The 23,531-nt window shown below is 40.7% G+C and overlaps 1 protein-coding gene across 4 annotated transcripts in view, besides 1 other annotated feature; it reads left to right on the top strand.

Moving 5' to 3' along the window:
• Positions 1-23,531, top strand: part of PRCP (prolylcarboxypeptidase) — a 78,709-nt gene that overhangs the window by 18,584 nt on the left and 36,594 nt on the right. For 3 of the 4 annotated variants that reach the window (XM_005274093.2, NM_005040.4, NM_199418.4), the window contains one exon: positions 22,944-23,084. The exons of the other annotated variant lie outside the window; for it this stretch is intronic. Coding sequence is in view for 2 of the 3 variants with exons in the window: in NM_005040.4 (NP_005031.1) it covers positions 22,944-23,084 (141 nt within the window). In the remaining variant the exon portion in view is untranslated. The remainder of the gene's footprint in view (positions 1-22,943; positions 23,085-23,531) is intronic. 4 annotated transcript variants of the gene reach the window in all.
• Positions 15,229-15,488: an enhancer, noted in NCBI's record as "active region_5332". NCBI's record gives its function as "activates an Ori minimal core promoter by ATAC-STARR-seq in GM12878 lymphoblastoid cells {active_cell/tissue: GM12878}" and the evidence as "EXISTENCE:reporter gene assay evidence [ECO:0000049][PMID:35858748]".

The following is a 23,531-nucleotide window of genomic DNA, read 5'->3' as shown; positions in this document are numbered from 1 at the left end:
CTCAAGCTGAAGTTATTCTTCTACCATTAGTACTTGGTTTTGTCAACAGTCTGCCAGTATTGTACTACCAATATGGCATAGACACTGGCCAGTGGGAACAGAAGCTAGTCATGGAGTTGAGGCCTTTTGAAGTATCATCGTTCTTTAGGTCTGGAGATCTAAAAAAGGGTCTGTGGCAGTAGGGCTGTGTGTGTGTGTGTGTGTGTTGCACAGGTAGTTTTTCTCCAACTCATATGGAAATATTTCAGTATTTTAAGAACTGGCTCGGCCGGGCGCGGTGGCTCACGCCTGTAATCCCAGCACTTTGGGAGGCCGAGGCGGGCGGATCACGAGGTCAGGAGATCGAGACCATCCCGGCTAAAACGGTGAAACCCCGTCTCTACTAAAAATACAAAAAATTAGCCGGGCGTAGTGGCGGGCGCCTGTAGTCCCAGCTACTTGGGAGGCTGAGGCAGGAGAATGGCGTGAACCCGGGAGGCGGAGCTTGCAGTGAGCCGAGATTGCGCCACTGCACTCCAGCCTGGGCGACAGAGCGAGACTCCGTCTCAAAAAAAAAAAAAAAAAAAGAACTGGCTCAGTATCAGCTTTGGTCCTCCCAGGTAGTGAGTGCCTACAGAATGGGATTCTGTCTGTACTGCTTAGTGTCCCTAATATGGATATCTCAGCACAACTCAGGTGTCCAAAACAGGTTTAACTTCTATAGCAAATGTTAATGTTATTACATAACACTTCTTTTTAAAACTTCTCTGAATTTTTCACATTACTATGAATACTACTGCAGTTGACCCTAGAACAACATGGGTTTGAACTGCACGTGTCCACTTATAAACGTTTTTTTTCAATACATCTCTTCTGTCTCCCCTTTCACCTCCTCCACTTCTTCTGCCTCTGCCACCCCTGAGACAGCAAGACCAACCCCTCCTCTTTCTCCTCCTCCTGTTCAGCCTTCTCAAAGTGAAGATGAGGATAAAGACCTTTGTGATGATCCACTTTCACTTAATGAATAATAAATATATTTTCTCTTCCTTAAGATTTACTTAATAACATTTTTACCTAGCTTATTTTATTGTAGGAGTACAGAATATAATACATATACAAAATATGTGTTAATTGACTTTATGTTATCAGTAAGGCTTCTGGTCAATAGTATGTTCTATTAAGTTTTTGGGAGTCAAAGGTTATAGGCAGATTTTTGACCATTTGTGGGTTGTGGAGGGTGGGTTGGTGCCCCTAATCACCCTGTTGTTCAAGGGTCAGTTGCACTCTCCTGTTCACATGGGATAGAAAACTTTGGAATTTTCTGATTCTCTCACCTTCACATCCAAACCAAAATCCAGTCAATCACCAAGACATTTCCAAGATTCCATCCTCGTTTCTGCCCCTTCTTTGCTTTCCCAGGGTTACCAGTTTGTACCATATAATTCCAGGCTAACTTATTATAATACCCCCTTCAGTCCCTCTGTTCTTTTAGATTCAGCCCAGGCCAGCTGGCACCATGTTTTTTTTCTCCTCTCCTTTTGTCCAATCCAGGCTTTATAGGGCCCTGCTTAAACCCCACATCTTCAGAGAAACCTTCCCCGCTGACTCAGCCCAGCGGGGGCTGTCCTACCCCCAGGTGCCCTAGTCCTTACTGTCTGTAGCATTTGGATGTTACCTGTGCTCTACTTTGTGAGGCTGCCTGAACTGTAATTACATCTTCAGATGACGTTGAACGGGTGGTTGTCCCTCAAGTAGAGAGCACACACAGCCATTAAGTGAGAATTAATACACTCACCGGGGCATAATGGTTCAGGTCACTTAGATTTTTAAGATTTCTTAATAGAAATAATTTCAAATTCTGTAACTTGGTTGCTGAATAGCATGAAATTTTGTTAAAGAAAAACACTATGACCCACTAAATGAATTCCTAACCTACAAATGGATCACAACCTCCATTTTATATAACCCTGATCTAGACCACAAAGGCCTTAAAAAGAAGAATGTTTCTCTCATAATGGAAAGGTAAGACCTGGAAGCAAAAGCCTTTACTATGAGTATAAAGTGTTGCAAGAGAGGCATAAAGCATGCAAGTCTAGAAGAGGGAAAATTGCACAGTGAAAATGACTTCCTATTGTAGGAAGATGATTCTGTTTGTGGGAGCAGGCACTTGGCAGTGGCTTAGCAGTTTATAGGTTTTCCCTTGAAAATTAAGTCCTTCCTTGCAGAGGGTTTTTTTTTTTTTTTTCCTCCATAAGGGCAGATGGGAAAAACACACATTTCCTCCTCTCTAGTTTTCTTTAGGCTTTTATTTATTCACCATTTTGTTTTCCTTCTCAATATTTTTGCTCTTGCATAATAGCAGGGCTTGTTGAGCTTTTCTGATTTGGACTGTGTTTCTAAACACTAAAATGAGCAAAGTGAGGAGGTTCCAAGATGGCCGAATAGGAACAGCTCCAGTCTACAGCTCCCAGCATGAATGATGCAGAAGATGGGTGATTTCTGCATTTCCAACTGAGGTACTGGGTTCTTCTCACTGGAGCTTGTCAGACAGTGGTTGCAGCCCATGGAGCAGGGCAGGCCATTGCCTCACCTGGGAAGTGCAAGGGGTCAGGGAATTCCCTTTCCTAGCCAAGGAAAGCCATGACAGACGGTACCTGGAAAATTGGGACACTCCCACCCTAATACTGTGCTTTTCCAATGGTCTTAGCAAATGGCACACCAGGAGATTATATCCTGTGCCTGGCTCAGAGGGTCCCACACCCACAGAGCCTCGCTCACTGCTAGCACAGCAGTCTGAGATCCAACTGCAAGGTGGCAAAGAGGCTGGGGGAGGGGCATCTGCCATTGCTGAGGCTTGAGTAGGTAAACAAAGTGGCCGGGAAGCTCGAACTGGGTGGAGCCCACTGCAGCTCAAGGAGGCCTGCCTGCCTGCCTCTGTAGACTCCACCTCTGGGGGCAGGGCATAGCTGAACAAAAGGCAGCAGAAACTTCTGCAGACTTAATTGTTCCCTGTCTGACAGCTTTGAAGAGAGTAGTGGTTCTCCCAGCATGGAGTTTGAGATCTGAGAATGGACAGACTGCCTCCTTAAGTGGGTCCCTGACCCCTGAGTAGCCTAACTGGGAGACACTTCCCAGTAAGGGTCGACTGACATCTCATACAACTGGGTGCCCCTCTGAGACAAAGCTTCCAGAGGAAGGATCAGGCAGCAACATTTGCCATTCTGCAATATTTGCTGTTTTGCAGCCTCCGCTGGTGATACCAGGCAAACAGGGTCTGGAAGGGACCTCCAGCAAACTCCAGCAGACCTGCAGCTGAGGATCCCGACTGTTAGAAGGAAAACTAACAAACAGAAAGGACATCCACACCAAAACCCCATCTGTACGTCACCATCATCAAAGACCAAAGGTAGATAAAACCACAAAGATGGGGAGAAACCAGAGCAGAAAAGCTGAAAATTCTAAAAATCAGAGTGCCTCTTCTCCTCCAAAGGAATGCAGCTCCTCACCAGCAACAGAACAAAGTTGGATGGAGAATGATTTTGATGAGTTGAGAGAAGAAGGCTTCAGATGATTGGCAATAACAAACTTCTCTGAGCTAAAGGAGGATGTTTGAACCCATCGCAAAGAAGCTAACAACCTGGAAAAAAGATTAGACGAATGGCTAACTAGAATAAACAGCATAGAGAAGACCTTAAATGACGTGATGGAGCTGAAAACCATGGCACGAGAACTACGTGATGCATGCACAAGCTTCAGCAGCTGATTCAATCAAGTGGAAGAAAGGGTATCAGTGATTGAAGATCAAATGAATGAAATGAAGTGAGAAGTTTAGAGAAAAAAGAGTAAAAAGAAACAAACAAAGCCTTCAAGAAATATGGGACTATGTGAAAAGACCAAATCTATGTCTGATTGGTGTACCTGAAAGTGACGGGGAGAATGGAACCAAGTTGGAAAACACTCTGCAGGATATTATCCAGGAGAACTTCCCAAACCTAGCAAGGCAGGCCAACATTCAAATTCAGGAAATACAGAGAACACCACAAAGATACTCCTCGAGAAGAGCAACTCCAAGACACATAATTGTCAGATTCACCAAAGTTGAAATGAAGGAAAAAATATTAAGGGTAGCCGGAGAGAAAGGTTGGGTAACCCATAAAGGGAGGCCCATCAGACTAACAGTGGATCTCTTGGCAGAAACTCTACAAGAGTGGGGGCCAACACTCAACCTTCTTAAAGAAAAGAATTTTCAACCCAGAATTTCATATCCAGCCAAACTAAACTTCATAAGTGAAGGAGAAATAAAATCCTTTATAGACAAGCAAATGCTGAGAGATTTTGTCACCACCAGGCCTGCCCTACAAGCGTTCCTGAAGGAAGCACTAAACTTGGAAAGGAACAACCGGTACTAGCCACTGCAAAAACATGCTGAATTATAAAGACCCTCAGTGCTAGGAAGAAACTGCATCAACTAATGAGCAAAATAACCAGCTAACATCATAATGACAATGGGGAAGAAGCAAAAGTGGAAACCCTGATAAACCCATCAGATCTCATGAGACTTATTCACTATCATGAGAATAGCATGGGAACGACCCCCATGATTCAATTACCTCCCCATTTGTCCCTCCCACAACATGTAGGAATTCTGGGAGATACAATTCAAGTTGAGATTTGGGTGGGGACACAGCCAAACCATATCATACCACTCCTGGCCCCACCAAATTTCATGTCCTCACATTTCAAAACCAATCATGCCTTCCTAGCAATCCCCCAAAGTCTTAACTCATTTCAGCATTAACCCAAAAGTCCACAGTCCAAAGTCTCACCTGAGACAAGGCAAGTCCCTTCTGCTTATGAGCCTAGAAAATCAAAAGCAAGTTAGTTACTTCCTAGATACAATGTGGGTACAGGTATTGGGTAAATACAGCCATTCCAAATGGGAGAGATTGGCCAAAACAAAGGGGTTACAGGCCCCATGCAAGTCCGAAATCCAGTGGGCAGTCAAATTTTAAAGCTCCAGAATGATCTCCTTTGACTCCAGGTCTCACATCCAGGTCACACTGATGCAAGAGGTGGGTTCCCATGGTCTTGGGCAGCTCCACCCCTGTGGCTTTGCAGGGTACAGCCTCCCTCTCAGTTGCTTTCACTGGCTGGCATTGAGTGTCTGTGGCTTTTCCAGGCTCACGGTACAAGCTGTCAGTGGGTCTACCATTCTGGGATCTGGAGGATGGTGGCCCTCTTCTCATAGCTCCACTAGGCATTGCCCCAGTAGAGACTCTGTGTGGGGGCTCTGACTCCACATTCCCTTCTACCCTGTCCTAGCAGAGGTTCTCCATGAGGGCTCCACCCCTGCAGCAAACTTTTGCCTGGGCATCCAGGCATTTCCATGCATCTTCTGAAATCTAGGCAGAGGATCCCAAACCTCAATTCTTGACTTCTGTGCACCTGCAGGCTCAACACCATGTGGAAGCTGCTAAGGCTTAGGGCTCCCACCCTCTGAAGTCACAGCCTAAGCTCTATGTTGGCCCCTTTAAGCCATGGATGGAGTGGCTAGGACACAGGGCACCCAGTCCCTAGGCTGCACACAGCATGGGGACCCTGGGCTCAGCCCACGTAACCACTTTTTCCTCCTGGGGCTCCAGGCCTGTGATAGGAGGGGCTGCCGTGTGGTCTCTGACATGGCCTGGAGACATTTTCCCCATGGTCTTGGGGATTAACATTGGGCTCCTTGCTACTTATGCAATTTCTGCAGCTGGTTTGAATTTCTCCTCAGAAAATAGGTTTTTCTTTTCTACTGCATCGTCAGGCTACAAATTTTCTGAACTTTTATGCTGTTTCCCTTTTAAAATGGAATGCTTTTAACAGCACCCAAGTCACATTTTGAATGCTTTGCTGCTTAGAAATTTCTTCTGCCAGATACCCTAAATCATCTCTTTCAAGTTCAAAGCTCCACAAATCTCTAGGGTGGGGCAAAATGCCACCAGTCTCTTTACTAAAACATAACAAGAGTCACCTTTGTTTCAGTTCCCAACAAGTTCCTCATCTCCGTCTGAGACCACCTCAGCCTGGACCTTGTTGTTCATATCACTATCAGCATTTTTGTCAAAGCCATTCAACAAGTCTCTAGGAGGTTCCAAACTTTCCCACATTTTCCTATCTTATTCTCAGCCCTCCAAACTGTTCCAACCTCTGCCTGTTATCCAGTTCCAAATTTGCTTCCACATTTTCGGGTATCCTTTCAGCAATGCCCCACTCTACTGGTACCAATTTACTGTATTAGTTCGTTTTCATGCAGCTGACAAAGACATACCCGGGACTGGGAAGAAAAAGAGGTTTAATTTGACTTACAGTTCCACAGGGCTGGGGAGGCCTCAGAATCATGGCAGGAGGTGAAAGGCGCTTCTTACATGGTGGCGGCAAGAGAAAATGAGGAAGAAGCAAAAGCGGAAACCCCTGATAAACCTATCAGATCTTGTAAGACTTATTCACTATCACGAGACTTGCACAAGAAAGACTGGCCCCCATGATTCAGTAACCTCCCCCCGGTCTCTCCCACAACACGTGGGAGTTCTGGGAGATACAATTCAAGTTGAGATTTGGGTGGGGACACAGCAAAACTATATCACGTGCCAAATGCAAAAATACACATATGGTTGTAATGTACTTTTGTGTGTGTTTTGTTTAATACCACAGTATAAAGTTATTGATGGTTATCAGTCACTGGGAGTACTTTTTGAGCCTTTGCTGTGGTCAGGGACTTGTACACACACCACTTTGAATCCTTGCAACCTTGTAAGGAAGTTAGTTTTCCCTTTTATAGATGAAGTAACTGAGGTACACCTAGCTAGAAAGTGGCACAATCAGCATTTCAACGTGGGACTTTCAGGCTACAGAGCTGGGCTCTTTTCACTGTGCTGAGCCAACCTTCAAAACAGTGACAGCACAGTGTGGTGGTGACTGTTCTGGAAGCTGTCATAGGATCAGAGAAGGAGCATTCTCCTTTGGGCCTGGGGTTGTCCTAGAAAACTTTGTAGAGGGGACAGCACTTGAATGAACATTTTGAGGATGAGGTAGTAATTTTTTTTTGTAATGATGCGAGAGAGGAATGCATTCCAGGCAGGAGGAAATCCATGTAGAGAAGCCTGGAGACTTCAGAAAGCGTATGTCCAGAGCATTTCTGGAATATGAAGTGGGAGAGGGCCATGTGGTAGAAGACGAGGCTGGAAAAGAGGTGAGCAGGGTGCCAGGACAGACATTATCAGCTTCTCTTGAGTTTGCCTTCGCTACGGCCTTGTGTACCACTGGTTAGTTGGGTTGTGCCTCCTCTTTGCTGCCATAACAATCACCCTGTTCTCACCCACATTCATAATGTGCATTCCTTATATAGAAATAATTTCTTTGCTTGCTTGTCTCCTCTGGTAGACTGTGGCCTCTTTCAGAGCAAAAAATAAGGCTTTTTATCCTTGTATCCAGTATAGCCCGGCACACAGAGTAAGTACTCAGGAAATGGTGGAACGATGAAAGAGCCTTGTCTTTGCTGAGGAGGCTCAGTATTAATTATAGTCACCTATGTGTTTACAGCTTTTCTACCTTTCAAGGTTGAGTTGGATTTTAACTGAGTAATTGTAGGATCTGTTCACATTTCCTGAGGCTAACACACCTCTGATAGAAAGAAAACAGTCTTGCTGGTAGCCCCACAGGCCTAAAGCAGAGTTAACTGGTGTAGTCTAAGTTCGGGTGAGGTCACTTGGTCTTCAGATGTCACATCATACTTCTCAGTTCTTCCAGTTCAACTCAGGAGTCATTGATGTAGTAAGGCCTGTGCACATTGTGTTTTGCACTTTGTGGATACAGAGATTAGCCAGAAAGGGAGAGGCAGTAAGGCATGGTGGGGAAAACACAGCCTCTCTACTCCATAGGGTTCCTCTGAAGAACAATTGAGATTATTTACATGTAGTCCTAGTTCAGCCCTTACACTATTCACAGGGGCAGGAAGAAATAACACACATGGTGTGTTCAACAGATTCTAACTTTTTTTATACAGGTTTTTTTTTTTTACAGTTTTACAGTTTATAACAGTATGGTGGTTATAAGACATGTATGTATAAATAACTACTGTGCAAGGATACATTTGAAAAGATTATAATATAGCTAAAATACCATGAAAGCACAAAGAAGGCAGGAATGCTTCATGAAGGGAGTGGCGTTGAATAGAACCCCCAGGACATTTCACAGGGTAGACGGCTGTGTGGATTAAAGGCTTAACTATTGCCTGCTCCAGGACTTCTTTTCTGACCACCCTGTTAGAAGTCGATCTGCCTCTTTTATTCTCTATCAGAATAAAACCTGTACAACTAGTTTTCTTTTTTTTCTTTTTTTTTTTTTTTTTTTGAGACAGGGTCTCACTTTGTTGCCCAGGCTGGAGTCCAGTGGTGTGATCACAGTTCATTGCAGCCTTGAACTCCTGGGCTCAGGTGATCCTCCCACTTCATCCTCCTGAGTGGCTGGTACTACAGGTGCATGCCATTATGCCATGCTAATTTTTGTATTTTTTGAAGAGACGGGGTTTTGCCATGTTGCCCAGGCTGGTCTCGAACTCCTTGGCTCAAGTGATCTGCCAGCCTTGGCCTCCCAAAGTCCTGGGATCACGGGTGTGAGCCACCGCACCCAGGTAAAACTTGTACAATTAGTTTCTAAGTTCTTATTTGTGTATTTGCTTGTTTGTTTTTTGTTTCCTGTTGTCTGTCACCAGACTATAAGCCCTGTGCGGGCAGTGACCATATCTAGCTTGTTCACTGTTGTTATACTCTAGTACTTATCCCATGGTAGGCACTCAAGAAATACTTACACATCCCACTAACTCTGGGAAGTTGTTGATTATCTGGTGTCGTGGTGGCAAAACCACCTGAAAGTAATCAAAGGAAGCCACTTGGTTACATTTGAACTTGTTGTTATTGTTCTGAGCTTTTTGGTTTCTGCTGAGGATATCCTTTTCCCTTCCTTTATCTTTTTTACAGCGCCATTATCATTTAGACCGGATGAATGTGCAAAACAATGAATAGTCTGTAGAGTGTATCTTTAAGATAATGATAAAAAGTCCCTGGAGGACATTTTATAGTGAAATCAGGACTGCGAATTTGAGTTGGAGTTTCCAGGGAGGAAAAAACTTAGACATTACTTTCCTCAGCTGCTTCCTTTGGTGGATGCTATTCATGTGGGGATTTTGTAAAGTTTAATTTTCCAGAGTGCTTTAACATCATGTATTTTTCAATGTGATAAAAAAATTTATTTTAAAGCAGTCTCTGAAAAGAGGTTGTAGGTTTTCTGTTTCAGTGGTTCTCATGGTATCATTCACAGAAGATTCTCCATGGAAGAAGAAGAGTTGTATTTTAGCATTATGTTGTAATACTATGTTTGTATGTACTTTTTCTTTTTTAAACATGTAGTTTATTAATTCATCAGAGGTAACCAGTGAAGATTGTGGCTGCTGATGTCTTTTATCTCACCAGGGTGGAACGGGACCTAAACATTTGAGAACAATTAGTTTTATTACCTTCTATCAATTTCTTGAATAGGTTTTGGAGAAAAGGGTAGCAATAGAATATGCTTTACTGACTTCTATTAAATGCTGGGGGGAGCCTGATGGCCTTGGAACTCTTTTGCCAATTTAGTGGGGCATTTCGTGTTTAAAATGCCCACAGTCAGGGCCACTGCAGAATCTGTTATAAGTGGGCTATAGTGGTGACTACAGCTGTTCAAAAGACTTCCTTTTGTTGATTGTTGTTAAACGAATACTGCTGATGTCATATATTGAGTCCTTCTTCATTGAGATCTTTCTGGGGTGTATTATGACTTTGGAGATTAAACATTGTCATATATGTTAAATATGTAGCAATTTAAGAGAGACATACCTTGGCTTGAAGCCTGGCTTGTTCTCATAATCATGTGCCATGTGAACCTTTCAATAGCCTTCTACTTATTCTTCTTACTTTCTTTTTTTTTAAAAAAAAAAAAACAGATCAGAATAAGTTTTAAAACTCTTGAAGGCTTCCTATTGCCTTTAAATTAAGTTCAGTCTCCCTATCATAGCCCACTTAGCGCTAAGCCTCATCCAGTACCATTCTCTCTCTTGTTCACCACTGATCTTATCTCTCTTTCTACATTAAACTCTTTCTGGCCTCTGGCTCTTTGTATTTTCTGTTTCTTCTTTCTAGAGTTCTTTCTTTGTCTGGCTCCTTCAGGCTTCGGTTCCATTGCCACCTCCATAGAGAGGCCTTCTGTATTAGTTTCTTAGGGCTGCAGAGTATCACAAACTAGGAGGCTTAAAACAATAGAAGTTTATCCTCTCACTTCCCGAGGCCAGAAGTCCAAAGTCAGGGTGTCAGCAGGATTGGTTACTTCTTGGGGACTCCTGGGGAGAGCCTGGTCCGGGCTCCGGGGAAGAGTCTGGTCTGTGTCCCTCGCTAAGCTTCTGCTGGCTGTTGGCAGTCCTTGGCGTTCTTTTGCTGGAAGCTGCTTGACTCCAGTCTCTGCTTCCATTGTCACATGGCCATTTTGCTTTTGTGCATCTGTGTCTTAACATGGCATTCTTCTCTCTGTGCCTCTTTGTCTCTTCTTTTCTTATAAGAACACCAGTCATATTGGATTAAGGGCCCACCCCTCTCCAGCATGCCCTCATCTTAACTAATGACATCTGCAATGATCCTATTTCTAAATAAAGTCACATTCTGAGGTTCTAGGAAGGACATAAATTTTGGGGGGATGCTATGCAACCCAGTATACCTACATGACTTTCAATTTAAAGTAGGCTGTGTTATTGGAGCTATACAGTAGTCCTCCCTTCTTCGCGGGGGATACGTTTCAAGACCCCCAGTAGATGCCAGAGATGTCGGTTAGTACTGAACCCTATATATAGTATGTTTTTTCCTATACATACATACCTGTGATAAAGTTTTATTTATAAATTAGGCACAATAAGAGATTAACAACAATAATGAATAATAAACAACTATGACACATTATGTGAACGCGTAGTCTCTTTCTCTCTCTCAAAATATCTTGTTGTACTGTACTCACCTATTTTCTGACCATGGTTGACCATGGGTAACTGAAACTGCAGAAAGCAAAACCATGGATAAGGTCTATAAGCACACTCATCGGTTATTTATTCCTGGCCAGTGATGAGCAAGGCACTTTATTAGACCACGTTACATATTGTACTCAGCTCTGGGCACACCATCTGTAAGAGGGAATGTTAATTAATCCAGTGTGAGCAGGGTTAGGAGGACTTTAGAATATAGTGTTATATGGGAAATAGTAAGAACTGGGGTTGCTCAGTTGGAGAACAGAAGATTTATGAGGTCATCACAGTTCTTTGCAGGAGGAGTGGTAGTATGCAAGATTGGATTGTGAGTTACATAGATCACAGGTCTGAACTCCTGTTCGTGAGAAACGTGGTTTTTGCCTTTTTTGGAGGTTGAGGGGTCTTTGTCCTTTTACATTATACCAGCAGATACCAGCCTCTATCTCTCAGAAGATGTGATGTAGTTATAACAGTGGTGTCAGGAGAATATTTTGCATGTATAGAAGAAACATTCAGAACAGTCCAGGTGCAATGGCTTATGCCTATAATCCCAGCACTTTGGGAGGGCAAGGCGGGTGGATCACTTGAGTTCAGGAGTTCGAGACCAGCCTGGGCAACATGGCAAAACCCCGTCTCTACTAAAAATACAAAAAGTAGCAGGGAATGGTGGGGCACGCCCATAGTCGCAGCTACTCAGAGGCTGAGGCAGGAGAATTGCTTGAACCCAGGAGACGAAGTTTGCACGAGCCAAGATCATGCCACTGCACTCCAGCCTGGGCGACAGAGTCAGATTCTGTTTCAAAAAAAAAAAAAAAAAAAAAGAGAAACATTTAGAACAATAGACTATAAAGGAAGAAAATCAGTAACACATCATCTTATGTTTAACAAAGCAGAAGAATATAAACTTTCAAGGCCTTGATGATATGCAGCCTTACATTATTTTTATGAGATTATTATTGAAATGCTTATATATCATATATATGAGTTCTGGCAAGATTATTTACTCCTTAAAATAGAATAAATACAGCATAGTTTAGATTACCTTGCAAATCAGCAAACAGATTATGGCAGCATTTGTCTGTGGTGGACAGGACCTCATAGCTCTGGGCATATTCAGGCTGCATGAAGATAGGAATGACCTTAATTCTCTTGCCCCCTGTCCTCTCACAACCCCTTTATGACATTCTCATCCTAGTTTTATCCAACCATTAAACTTCTCTGCTCCTGCTCCTGGGTTGTAAATATCTGCTAAGCGGCAGATTATTGTGCATACCAATTCAGTCTCCAACCTCAGGAGCTTTATGGAGGCCTAGGCATCAGTTTTTTCTTCCATGCTGAACTTTTACCTCTGTCTTTAAATCATTGCCATCCTAGGCTCTCTTTTACTATCTCTTTTAATAGATTACTTTGTCCCTTTACTTCATTGACTAAAAACTAAGGTGTTATATGAGAGGCATTTTAACTAGAATCCTTTTAGTTTCCTCCCTCGGTAATTAGAAAGATAACTCTTGCATCCATCTGTTTCCCAGTGGAGAAGGGGTTCCCAAGTCAGATCCTTCTGTTGGTGCTATTGACCCCATTCCCTCCTTCCTTCCCAGGATCTCGCAGCATCACATATCCCTCACTTACCTAGAGTCTCAACTATTCCCTCCAATTACTTTTTGTCCTAGGGTATTATACCTCTTCCCTGTTTCTTCCTTCTTAAAACTCTGTTGTTGGAAACACAAATTTTACACATTGATCAAATCAACATTTTGCAGCACATGTGGATTCACCAAACACTAGTATGCTGCTGAACGAGCTGCTATGTTGTACATTTTACAGAAAGCTGTTTCTCAGGTAAAGTTATTGTGTCCTGGCTGACAGCCATGACTTTAAAGTCCTTTCCAGTCTTAAAAACTTTGACTTATAACCTTGTCACCAAGATCAATTATATTTTAGGTAATATGCTTTGGTAAAATGCTGATTAGTCCTTCTCCTGCACTCCCTGCAATGTTGGCCTTCTGTCCATATTATTTGTAGTTATATAGAACTGTTTCTTCACCCAGCAGAAGGCATGCATTTCCTGCTTCCTCAGCAGTCCAAATGTTATGTGGTGCTCTTAGATTTAAGGCTTGGGTTCTCCATTAGGCATGTGATTTGTCACTGGGCAAAAGGCACATCCAACTACAGTGTTGTGCAACTCTTCCAAAGCTGGGAACAGACCCACCCAATAAATGAACCTGCACAAACTTGACCTTCTTGGGAACTTTGCTTTCCATTCTCATTTTTGTTTTTATACCAACTGCAGAGCCATGATGCATGCATGCATTCATTTACTCTCTATATATTCATTGGTCTTCTACTACATGCCAGGCCTTATTCCAGTCACTGTGTACTCAGAAGTGGACAAAACAGAAAAAAGTCCCTGCCTATTTGAGTCTATTTCCAGTGGATGTTTTTCATTCACTGTTGGTTTAGAGAAACAATCTTGGATTTCAGCTAGGTTTCTTTCCTCCCTTTCTCCCTCTCTTCCTTCTTTCCTTCCTCCTTTCCCTTCCCTTCCTTCTCTTTCTTCTGTCTCTCTATACCGCTTTCTTTCTTTCCTTCCTTCCTTTCTTCCTTCTTTCTTTTCTTCTTTTCTTCTTCTTTTTTTTTTTTTTTGAGATGGAGTCTCACTCTGTCGCCCAGGCTGGAGTGCAGTGGCATGATCATAGTTCACTGTAACCTTGAACTTCTGGGCTCAAGGGATCCTCTGATCTCAGCGTCCTGAGTAGCTAGGACTATAGGCATGTACCACCACACCCGGCTAATATTTTTATTTTTTGTAGAGACAGGGTCTTGCTATGTTGCCCAGGCTGGTCTTGAACTCCTGGGCTCAAGTGATCCTACCACCTTGGCCTCCTGAAGTGTTGGAATTACAGGTGTGAGCCAGTGCACCTGGCCTAGGTTTTTCTTTTTCCTTATTTATTTATTTATTTTTTGAGACAGAGTCTTGCTCTGTCACCCAGGTGGGAATGCAGTGGTGTGATCTTGGCTTACCGCAACCTCTGCCTCCCAGGTTCAAGTGATTCTCGGGCCTCAGCCTCCCAAGTAGCTGAGATTATAGGCGTGTATCACCATGCCTGGCTAATTTTTTGTATTTTTGTAGAGAAGAGGTTTTGCCATGTTGGGCAGGCTGGTCTCGAACTCCTGGCCTCAATTTGATCCTCCCGCCTCAGCCTCCCAAAGCGCTGGGATTAAAGGTGTGAGCCATTGTGGCAGCCCAGTGAGTCTAATCTCATCTCCCATGTCTTCCCCTCATAAACCTCTTGCCGTAAAACAACAGTTCCTGAATTTATGCTCATTCTGTATAGCTCATCATAGCCTTGCACATGTTTTTCTTCCTTTGCTTGAAATGCTCTTTTGTACCTGAAAAAAAAAAATTCTTCTCTGTGTTTCAGCTCAGATATTACCTCCTTGGTGCAGCCCTCTGTAATTTCCTCAGGCAGGGTGGTGACTTTGGCTTCTGAGCTCCCACAGTGCTTTGTATACAGAACTTAACCACACCACTGCTTGGTTGTTTACTAGCACATTAATCATTTCTGTTAGATTCTCCAGAACTTGAGAAATGGAATTGTATCTTAGTTTTTTTCTTAATACCTGCCTTTTAGTGAGCACTCAATAAGTATTTTTAAATGAAAGAAAAATTTAATATTAATGTGATTTAGTGCAATATAATTTACATATGCCTGTATAGTGAAATAGAAATATAAACATGTATCTTGTAAAATAATATATATCTTCAATGAGATTTTAAATGTTTATCAATCTGCTTTTGAATTATCTTATTATACATACAGAACAATGCATTATCCTAACTCCAGAATCCCCTCATTCTCTTTTACAGTCAGTTTTCCCCTGCACTGGTAACCAATATCCTGGTTTCTGACAGCACAGATTTTGAATCCTGACTTTAAAAAGAAGGGGGATGATTGTTGTTTCAATCATGTGAACATATAATATATTTATTTAGAAAAGAAAGATTTAAAATAATTGGCCTCTGTGTCTGTTTTTTATCCAAGAGTTTGGACTTGAGATCTAAGTTCCCTTTCTGTCCTAAGATTTTCTGAAACTTAATTTAAAACTTAACAAACCGGGTGTGGTGGTGTGCGCCTTTAGTTACAGCTACTCTCGAGCTTAGGAAGGAGGATCGCCTGAGCCCAGGAGTTCGAGGCTGCAGTGAGCTATGATCTGGCCACTCTACTTTGCCTGGGCTACAGAGGGGAGACCCCGTCTCTTAGAGAACAAACAAAAAAAAAGTAATGGTCTTTCCGACTTTACTACTTATATAAGGGCGCCCTCTGGTGGTGTGTCATTTCCTAAAATTTATATGCAGTGCTTGATTACAGCAGCACTTTATCTCTAATTTGGGAGCTTGAGCTGTGGCCCGGTAATTCTTCTAGTACAAAGCTTCCTGAAGCCGTGGGAAGGCATTGATTATGTGGTGCTTTCACAGAGCTGTTTGACCAACAGATAGAATCTCCCTCTAATGAAACACTTAACTGTTATTTGTCAAAACATGTTATTTCTTGATTTACTGGAGCATTTTAGGTATTCTCAACGGCAGGATATTTTCACCTCTGTTTTAGCAGTAAAGCAAAGAGTGTTTTGGTTTCACAGCATTTTGATAACTTAGCAATTCCCCCTCTGGGCCCAGGAGTTCTTGGTTTGAGGAAAGAAAGGTTATTAAGCACTGCAGAATTTTTCGAGAGGGTGTTTTCTCTCCCCATTTGGTTACTAAGCACAATTTTTTTTTCCACATAGATAGATGCTGTTGTGATATTTATTTATACCATTATTGAATTTATAATAGCTTCTCATATTTTCTCAAGCACTGGCTACTAATATATAACACATCTGTGATAATTTTAACATTAAGAAGGGAACCTCATAATCAGAAACACAAGAACCACTTACTTAGAAGATTTAAACTGCATCAGTTGAGCAATTATCTATGGCCGGGCGCGGTGGCTCATGCCTGTAATCCCAGCACTTTGGGAGGCTGAGGCAGGTGGATCACTTGAGGTCAGGAGTTTGAGACCAGCCTGGCCAACATGGTGAAACCCTGTCTCTACTAAAAATACAAAAATTATCCGGGTGTGGTGGTGGGCACCTGTAATCCCAGCCACTTGGGAGGCTGAGGCAGGAGAATTGCTTGAACTCGGGAGGTGGAGGTTGCAGTGAGCCGAGATCACGCCCCTGCACTCCAGCCTGGGTGACAGAGCAAGACTCCGGCTCAAAAAAAAAAAAATTAAAAACAATTATCTATAAAGTATCTGCCATGTACAAGGGCACTGTGGTAGCTATTGTGTTCTTGCCTTTCAAACCATCTGAGTATAGGAGGCTGGGGCACTAAATTTTCCCCATGATGGACTCTCCCATTATCACTTATTTGCTTCCCTTTCTCATTTACCATTTTCTCTTTAAATAAATTTATTTCTAAGAGTCTCATTTTTAAGATTAGGGGCATGTTAGGAAAAAAAAAGCATAGGAGTCAGGGAATGCAGTTCTGTCTCCTGGTTAACACTTATAGAAGTATGTGTAAAGAGGAGCAGTGTCTTATTACATACGAAGATGATTGCCTTTGAAGCATATCTCTGAGAGGACTTCCACCCTTTTTGTTAAGATGGAAGCTCGACCCTCTAAGGTTGGCAATGACGAGAGCATCTTCGTGGGAAGGGAGGACAGTATCTTCTTGGACTCACCTTCCTCTTGGAGGGACTTGTAAACATTTCCTTTGCTACCACTACACTCACTGGGGGATACCGTTTCCTCTTTAATTCTTTAAGTCAAATTTAATCTCCAATACTTTCTGGTATCTTCATTGTATGGATGAGTAAAGGTAGAACATTTAAGCAGGGTTTTTGAAAGGCCTTGACATAATAAAGAAGAAATAAACCAGGAGTCATCCAAGAGCCAGAGATCTGACTCATAAGATGTGGCTTGCTCTCTGATCTTGTCCTACCTCTAGGGTGCCCATGTGTGAGGGACAACTTAGTAGGAATCCACTCCTAGACATCCATCCTTCTCCAACTGTAGATCTAGGGCTTGTCTAAACTCCACCTTCCTTCCATGTTTTAGTCCTTCTTTGGGAACCCGTGTTCTTCTAACATAAAAGTGTCCATCCTTTCAGGGCATATCAAGCTTGCCCAGAAAGCTGTCAGTCTCCATTTAAGAACTCTAATGGAATGTAACCCCACAATCCCCAAATTAATATAAGACACACACATCAAATGGGAGAAAGAGGGTCTTATTTTATTTTAGATCTCTGCATTAGAGTTGGAAACCAGAGCACATGAAAAACTCCTTTAAGGTGCTTTGATTTATTGGAGGCGTAAGTTAATTTTTTTGGTCATGTATATCTCTGGGTATACTTTTTGTATCTTTAGTAAAATTTTAGTTAACTGTTATTAGATGTCTGGGTGCCTGAATAAATCCAACTGCATACTGAATTTTCTAAAACCGAAGGCTGCCAAGAAGGAGCCAATGTGATTTTGGTTTTATCAGTGGCCTAATGGAGTTAGCAATAGTAGTGTAGTAACAATTATTGTCAGGTCAGTGAAAAGACCAACATTCCACATATTCTGCAATGTAACTGTTAGTAAATGGCTGGGAGATTTGTCCTTCATTTTGCAAATTTAGGAGAAAGATACTCACTCTTAAGTGTCGCCTACCGAGGGTTGAAGTTTATAGTCAGCTTTATCTGCATGAGCGTGTTATAATGCAAGGAGTATAAAGATCTGGGTTTTCTTGGAGGCGGGATTGGGTAGGGGTTAAAAGCACATGAAAAGAATTACATTTGATTCCTAATTATTAGTTACATTACCTTGGGCAAGCTCTCTGACCTCTCTGAGCATCAGCCTTCTTATTTTAAAACTGGGTGATGAAAGTGGCCCCAGAGGGTAACTGCCGAGATGGTGAAGGGATCTGTGTAGAGCAACAGCACTGTGGCAGACACGTGGTAGGTGCTCTGTGTTATTCCCTCCCATCCCCACCTCTCCCACCCCCGCTGTCCCCAAGTTGCCATCAAAACTAACAGATGTAATGTTGCTACTGATTTTTCTGGATGCGAACTTTATTCTTGAGTGGTTTTAAAGTCCAAATAATTACTTTTATACAATAAACATCATTTAAAGGATGGTCTCTTTTCTTCTTGCCTACCCATTCTCACAGATCTATTTCTCCTCCACATGGTAAAGTGGGGAAGCATGTTTTGAAATTTCTTGGGCCATAAAAAAAATTATAAAAAAGAAAAAATGAAATTTCTAGGACCACGTGCTAGAAAGAACTGCTGTGCATGACTAGAGAGGTTTGTTTCCTTTCCAAGGTCATACGGTGTTGTCTTTACCATGCTATTATTTATTTTAATTGGTTCAATAAACCAAACTGCAAAAATAAAGTTCTAGCTCTGCCTCTGCCTTGTGACCATGGCTAAGTCATGTGACCTCTTCGAGCCTAATTTCTTCAGTTGAGCAACACAGACGGAATGGTTTCTAAGGCCCTTGTGACCTTTCCGTGTTGTAATTCATAAAATCTTTATTCAGGAGCCCAGAACAGGGAGTGGCACGTGGGTCCCACTTCTCAACAGCAGAGGGCATGCTGCCCCTAGTGTGCCTGGCCATTAGGTGTTGAAAACTATCTAGTTATCTAGCCAGAAGTTGATATCCTTGATGATAGGAAGGAGCCAAGGAAATTCTGTAAATTCATGTTGTGCAAAGAACATTTCACTACGTATTTCCAGTTGTTTAGCACCTAGGTGAAGCACTCAGAAAATAGGAGATTTTGACATTCTAAGGTCCTGTAATTCTGTGAAGAACTTAATCTGTCTCCCATCTAAGTACTCCGTGCTTAGGATTGGTGTGCAAATGGGATAGAGAGGAGAACTAACATCTTTTAAGCACGTATATATCTGGAACTATGCCTGGTACATTAGGTGCATTTTCCCTATCCTCACAGAAATCCTTTGAATTGTATGTGGTTATCCTTATTTTATACAGGAAGATACTAAGGTTCAGAGAGGTTAAGTAATTTGCCCGAGGCTTCACAGTTAGAAGAGATTCAAGTTCAGGTCTTTTAACTCCGAAGTCTGCTTTCTTGCCAGGGTTCCTCTCTCTTTTCCCCAATCTTAACAATCAAGGCTGATTGCTGGGAGCAGGAGTACCTTGGGCATGGCCACACAAGGGAATTTGGCTTTCTCTGGTTCTGAAGTTCTTGTGGCCCTTGTGATTCTAGATGGAAGTGTTTCTCTGGCAAGAACTTTATATCAGTTATATTTAGCATGACATATACAAACACATACCCATGTTTTCAAATCTGAAAATTTTAGACTGGATTATTAATGTTTTTCTTTGTGGGATGCTTTTAAAGGCTACGGCAATATCTCAGTTTACATGAAGACTCAGTTCTGTAGTCAGTGGGTGAGGTGAAAATCATTAGGGCAAAATTATCTTCAAGAATCTCATGGGAAGGCATCTTGTTAGAGAGCCATGAGCTTCCTTTCTTTAAGTCCAACACAGTCAGTCTTTCCTCCCTTGTTGAAACCTGCTGAGTTTCGAAAGGTGTTCCTGTGGTGGTTTCTCATGTTGAGTTTCAAATGATACAGTTAGCTTATATTTGGGGGTATGTTCAGTGGTAATTCAAATCTTTAGACACCAGAGTCTCATTCAGCATGATGAGATACTTACAGTATTTCAGGTACTCTGAAACCTAGAACAAGAGAAGGAATAACAAATTAATGTCTATTTTGGTGCTTATTCTAACTCAGTGGTTTTCAAAACTTTACAGAATCACCTGTACGGCTTGTTAAAGCACAGTTTACTGGGTTTTACCCTCATGGTTTCTGATTCTGTAGGTCTGGGATTCAGCCAAGGGGATTGCATTTTCAGCAAGTTCTCAGGTGAAGCTGATACTGCTGGTCTGGGGACCTCACCTGGAGAACCACTGTACTAATTGAATGGAAGCAGGTGGAATCACTTATCCGTCTTCCTTTCACTGTCTGTCTGCCTTTCTTGCCCTTTCATTTTTAGGCTGAGTGGATATAGTTGAATTAGCTTAAGTTAAATTCAGGGATTGCAGCTCAGCCAACTCTTTATCCCATTGCTTAGCTTAGTACTTGGCCCAAAATAGGAATTCAATAGATTCTTGTTGAGTGAATGATTGAGTAAATTAACATGTATAATGGAAGGGTTTATAGCACATGGACATCATTATTACATACCTCGTCCATAAAAACTGCTTATTTTCCTGAAAAGTAGACAGTCTTTAGATTAGAATATCATATTTTAGGACTACATATGGTGATGATCATAGATACCAGGAAGTTTGCAGTTAGGTAAAGTTTTGAGACACTTGTGTTTTGGGACCAGTGGTATGAATGGGAACTGTGTGTGTAGATAGAGCTGGGTGCAGGAAGTCCCATCTGTTTTAGAATGACCTAGGCAAGTCTTACAGGGTCTGGTTTAGGTCAAAACTAAGCACTGTTCCTGGGAGACTGGAGCAGCGCTGGAACAGCCTATGTCTGACCCAGACTGGGTGCTGCATTCTCATTTCTGTCTTTCCAAAGCACTGAGGAATTTAGCCCCCATGATGCTAAAGGCTCAGTGAGACTCTGTGCTGCAGGGTAAATCTGTAAATTCAGATTGTTGTACATGAATCTTACCATGTTATAGTATTTGATAATTACATTTTAAATAGTAAGTTAAAAAATCTCAAAGGGTAAAAAGAAATCTCAAAAATATATTTAAAATTCCGTTTAAGAAATCATTTTCTTATGTAGCCAAAACAATATGAACACTTTTGACAAAATGAACAAGTCTTTAGGTCAAATTGAGTATTCCTTTTCTGAAATGCTTAGGACCAGAAGCATTTCAGATTTTGGATTTTTTTTTGGATTTTTTTTTTTGATTTTGTAATAGTCATATTATGGTTACTGACTGAATATACCTAATCTGAAAATCCAAAATTTGAAATACTCTAATGAGCCTTTCCCTTGAGTATCATGTTGGTGCTCAAAAGTTTCAGATTTGGAGCATTTGGATTTTGGATTTTTGGATTAGGGATGCTCAACCTGTATCATTTAATAACTAGTCCATATTAAAATTACACATTTGTCCCTACATCATTGTGTATATCTTGTTTGTTCAAACTAGGATCCAATCCAGGGTCATGTATTATGTCTGGTTATTATGTTCCTTAAAATTCATTTAATCTAAAATAGTCCTTTCTCATGATATTGCCTTGTCAATTGTCTTGTAAAATGTTCTACCTTCAGTATCTGTTGTCCCTTTGAAATATCTTCAACTTGCTCTTTTACCTTTATATTTCCTGGAACCTGGAAATTAGATCTAAAGGCTGGATTAAGATGAAATGAAACATTTTCGGCAGGAATACGTCATAGGTGATATGTGCTTCATGTTGTGCCACATGAGGAGATACATAATCCCTGCGTGCTCTACCATTGATGATACTAACAAAATTAATTACTAGATTAAAGTGATAGCAGCCTGATCCTTCCATTGTAGTTATGTTTTCCCCTTGTGACAAGCGAGTATTCTCTATTGTATTACTTTGATACTATATGAATGTTCATTTTCATATTATTCATTTTCCTAATGCTTTTAACACCAATTGATAATTCTTGCCTGAATCAGTAACTTTACAGAACTGTCATATTCTAATTCTGTCATTCCTTCCACATTAGCTGACATTTGACTAAACACAGCTCTTCTTTATTAACTGGGACTATTCGTAGCCATCAAACACAGTTCTGTTGGACAGGCAGGTTAAATGTTGAATTTTTTACTTTTTAATTCCCAATTTCAGAGTAAGAGTTGATTTAATAAACAAATGGTGGCAAATGAACCTTTTCCTTTCTTTCCTTTTTAGAAATATTTTTGTGGACTAATGGAGTTTCATGAATTGAATGTTTCAATTAACTACAGTCATTATTCTTTTTATGTTTAATTTGTTTTTGTTTTACGTTCAATTTATTAAAATGATTGCCAGTGATAGTTCCTTGTGGTTGGTTCCTATCTTCTTTAAATATAACTCTCCATTAATTGTGAGCACTTTCTTGCTTCCTTGCACAGCAAAATGCATAAGCTTATCTTGCAGCTTCCTTGTCCCAAATGTCAATCAGCCACTTCACTAATAAGCCCTAATTTCTTTTGGTGGGAATGATATAGACATGAAATTCTTGTAACTTAGAATATCTATGGTGTGCTGGGGTGACAAGGTTTATGGACCTTTTCAGTAGTCTATTTAGTTCATGAATTTTTAATATTGAAAGTTTGTACAATGAAAATTCAGATAGTAATGGAAAACTGTATTTTGAAAAATAATGGGATGTATTATATACTTAAAAATTGCTAAGGGAGTAGATTTTAAGTGGTCTTATCACAAAAAATGATAAATATATGAGGTAATGCTTATGTTAATTAGCTCAATTTAGCCATTCTACAGCATATACGTATTTCAGAACATCATGTTATATACACCATACGTAAAATTTTATTTGCCAATTAAAAATGCATTAAAAATTAAAAAAGGGTTCACATTGTATTTACAATTCAATTTTAACATTATGTTTTTAAGTAGCTATTTGATTTTATAATTGTATTTTTTCTTTTACATTGAAAATCTTGATCACCAATAGCAAATATTACTTTATTTTATAATATAAGGAAATGATTTCAAAATAATAATATCGATATTACTATTAATAATAAAACAGTGAAGTTTAAAATTTCTTGTGATTATTTTTGTAGTAGAGATTGATTTTAATGGAAGAATTAATTACCTTTATGTTGATCTCATTTTATTACTTTCCTTTGAAATATGTTTTGTTTTGTTTTTATCACAGGTTGATCATTTTGGATTTAATACTGTGAAAACTTTTAATCAGCGGTACCTAGTAGCTGATAAATACTGGAAGAAAAATGGTGGATCAATACTTTTCTACACTGGTAATGAAGGGGACATTATCTGGTTTTGTAATAACACGGTATGTGCAGATTCATGAAATTCCAGTGCTCAATTTGACTTTTATTATGATAACTTGGAAGAAATGTTTTGCAATATGTATGACCAAACATTGCTGTTCTTAATTGTAAAGTTCTGTAAAAAATAACAAAAAAATTAACACACTAATAATAGAAAAATAGCAAAAGCACATGAATAGGAAGTTCATAAAAGAATTAAATACAGATATCCAATAAGTCTGCATATTCAGCTTTAAAGAATTACAAATGAAAAGAATAATGTACAATTTTTGGAGAATTGAATTATTTTATTTTATTGTATTTTTCATGGACTGCCTGAACATCCCAGAGAATTGAATTTTGCAAGTTTTTTGTTTTTGTTTTGCTTTGTTTTGTTTATAAAATCTCAGCTTGTTTCTAGAGTGAACAAGCATATAAGGGAAACGGATAAGAATGTTACTGTGTATAGT

Source organism: Homo sapiens, chromosome 11 (assembly GCF_000001405.40).
Source record: "Homo sapiens chromosome 11, GRCh38.p14 Primary Assembly".
Taxonomy (NCBI): domain Eukaryota; kingdom Metazoa; phylum Chordata; class Mammalia; order Primates; family Hominidae; genus Homo; species Homo sapiens.
The sequence above is the reverse complement of the archived record's forward strand: the minus strand, read 5'-3'. Positions and strand labels throughout refer to the sequence as shown.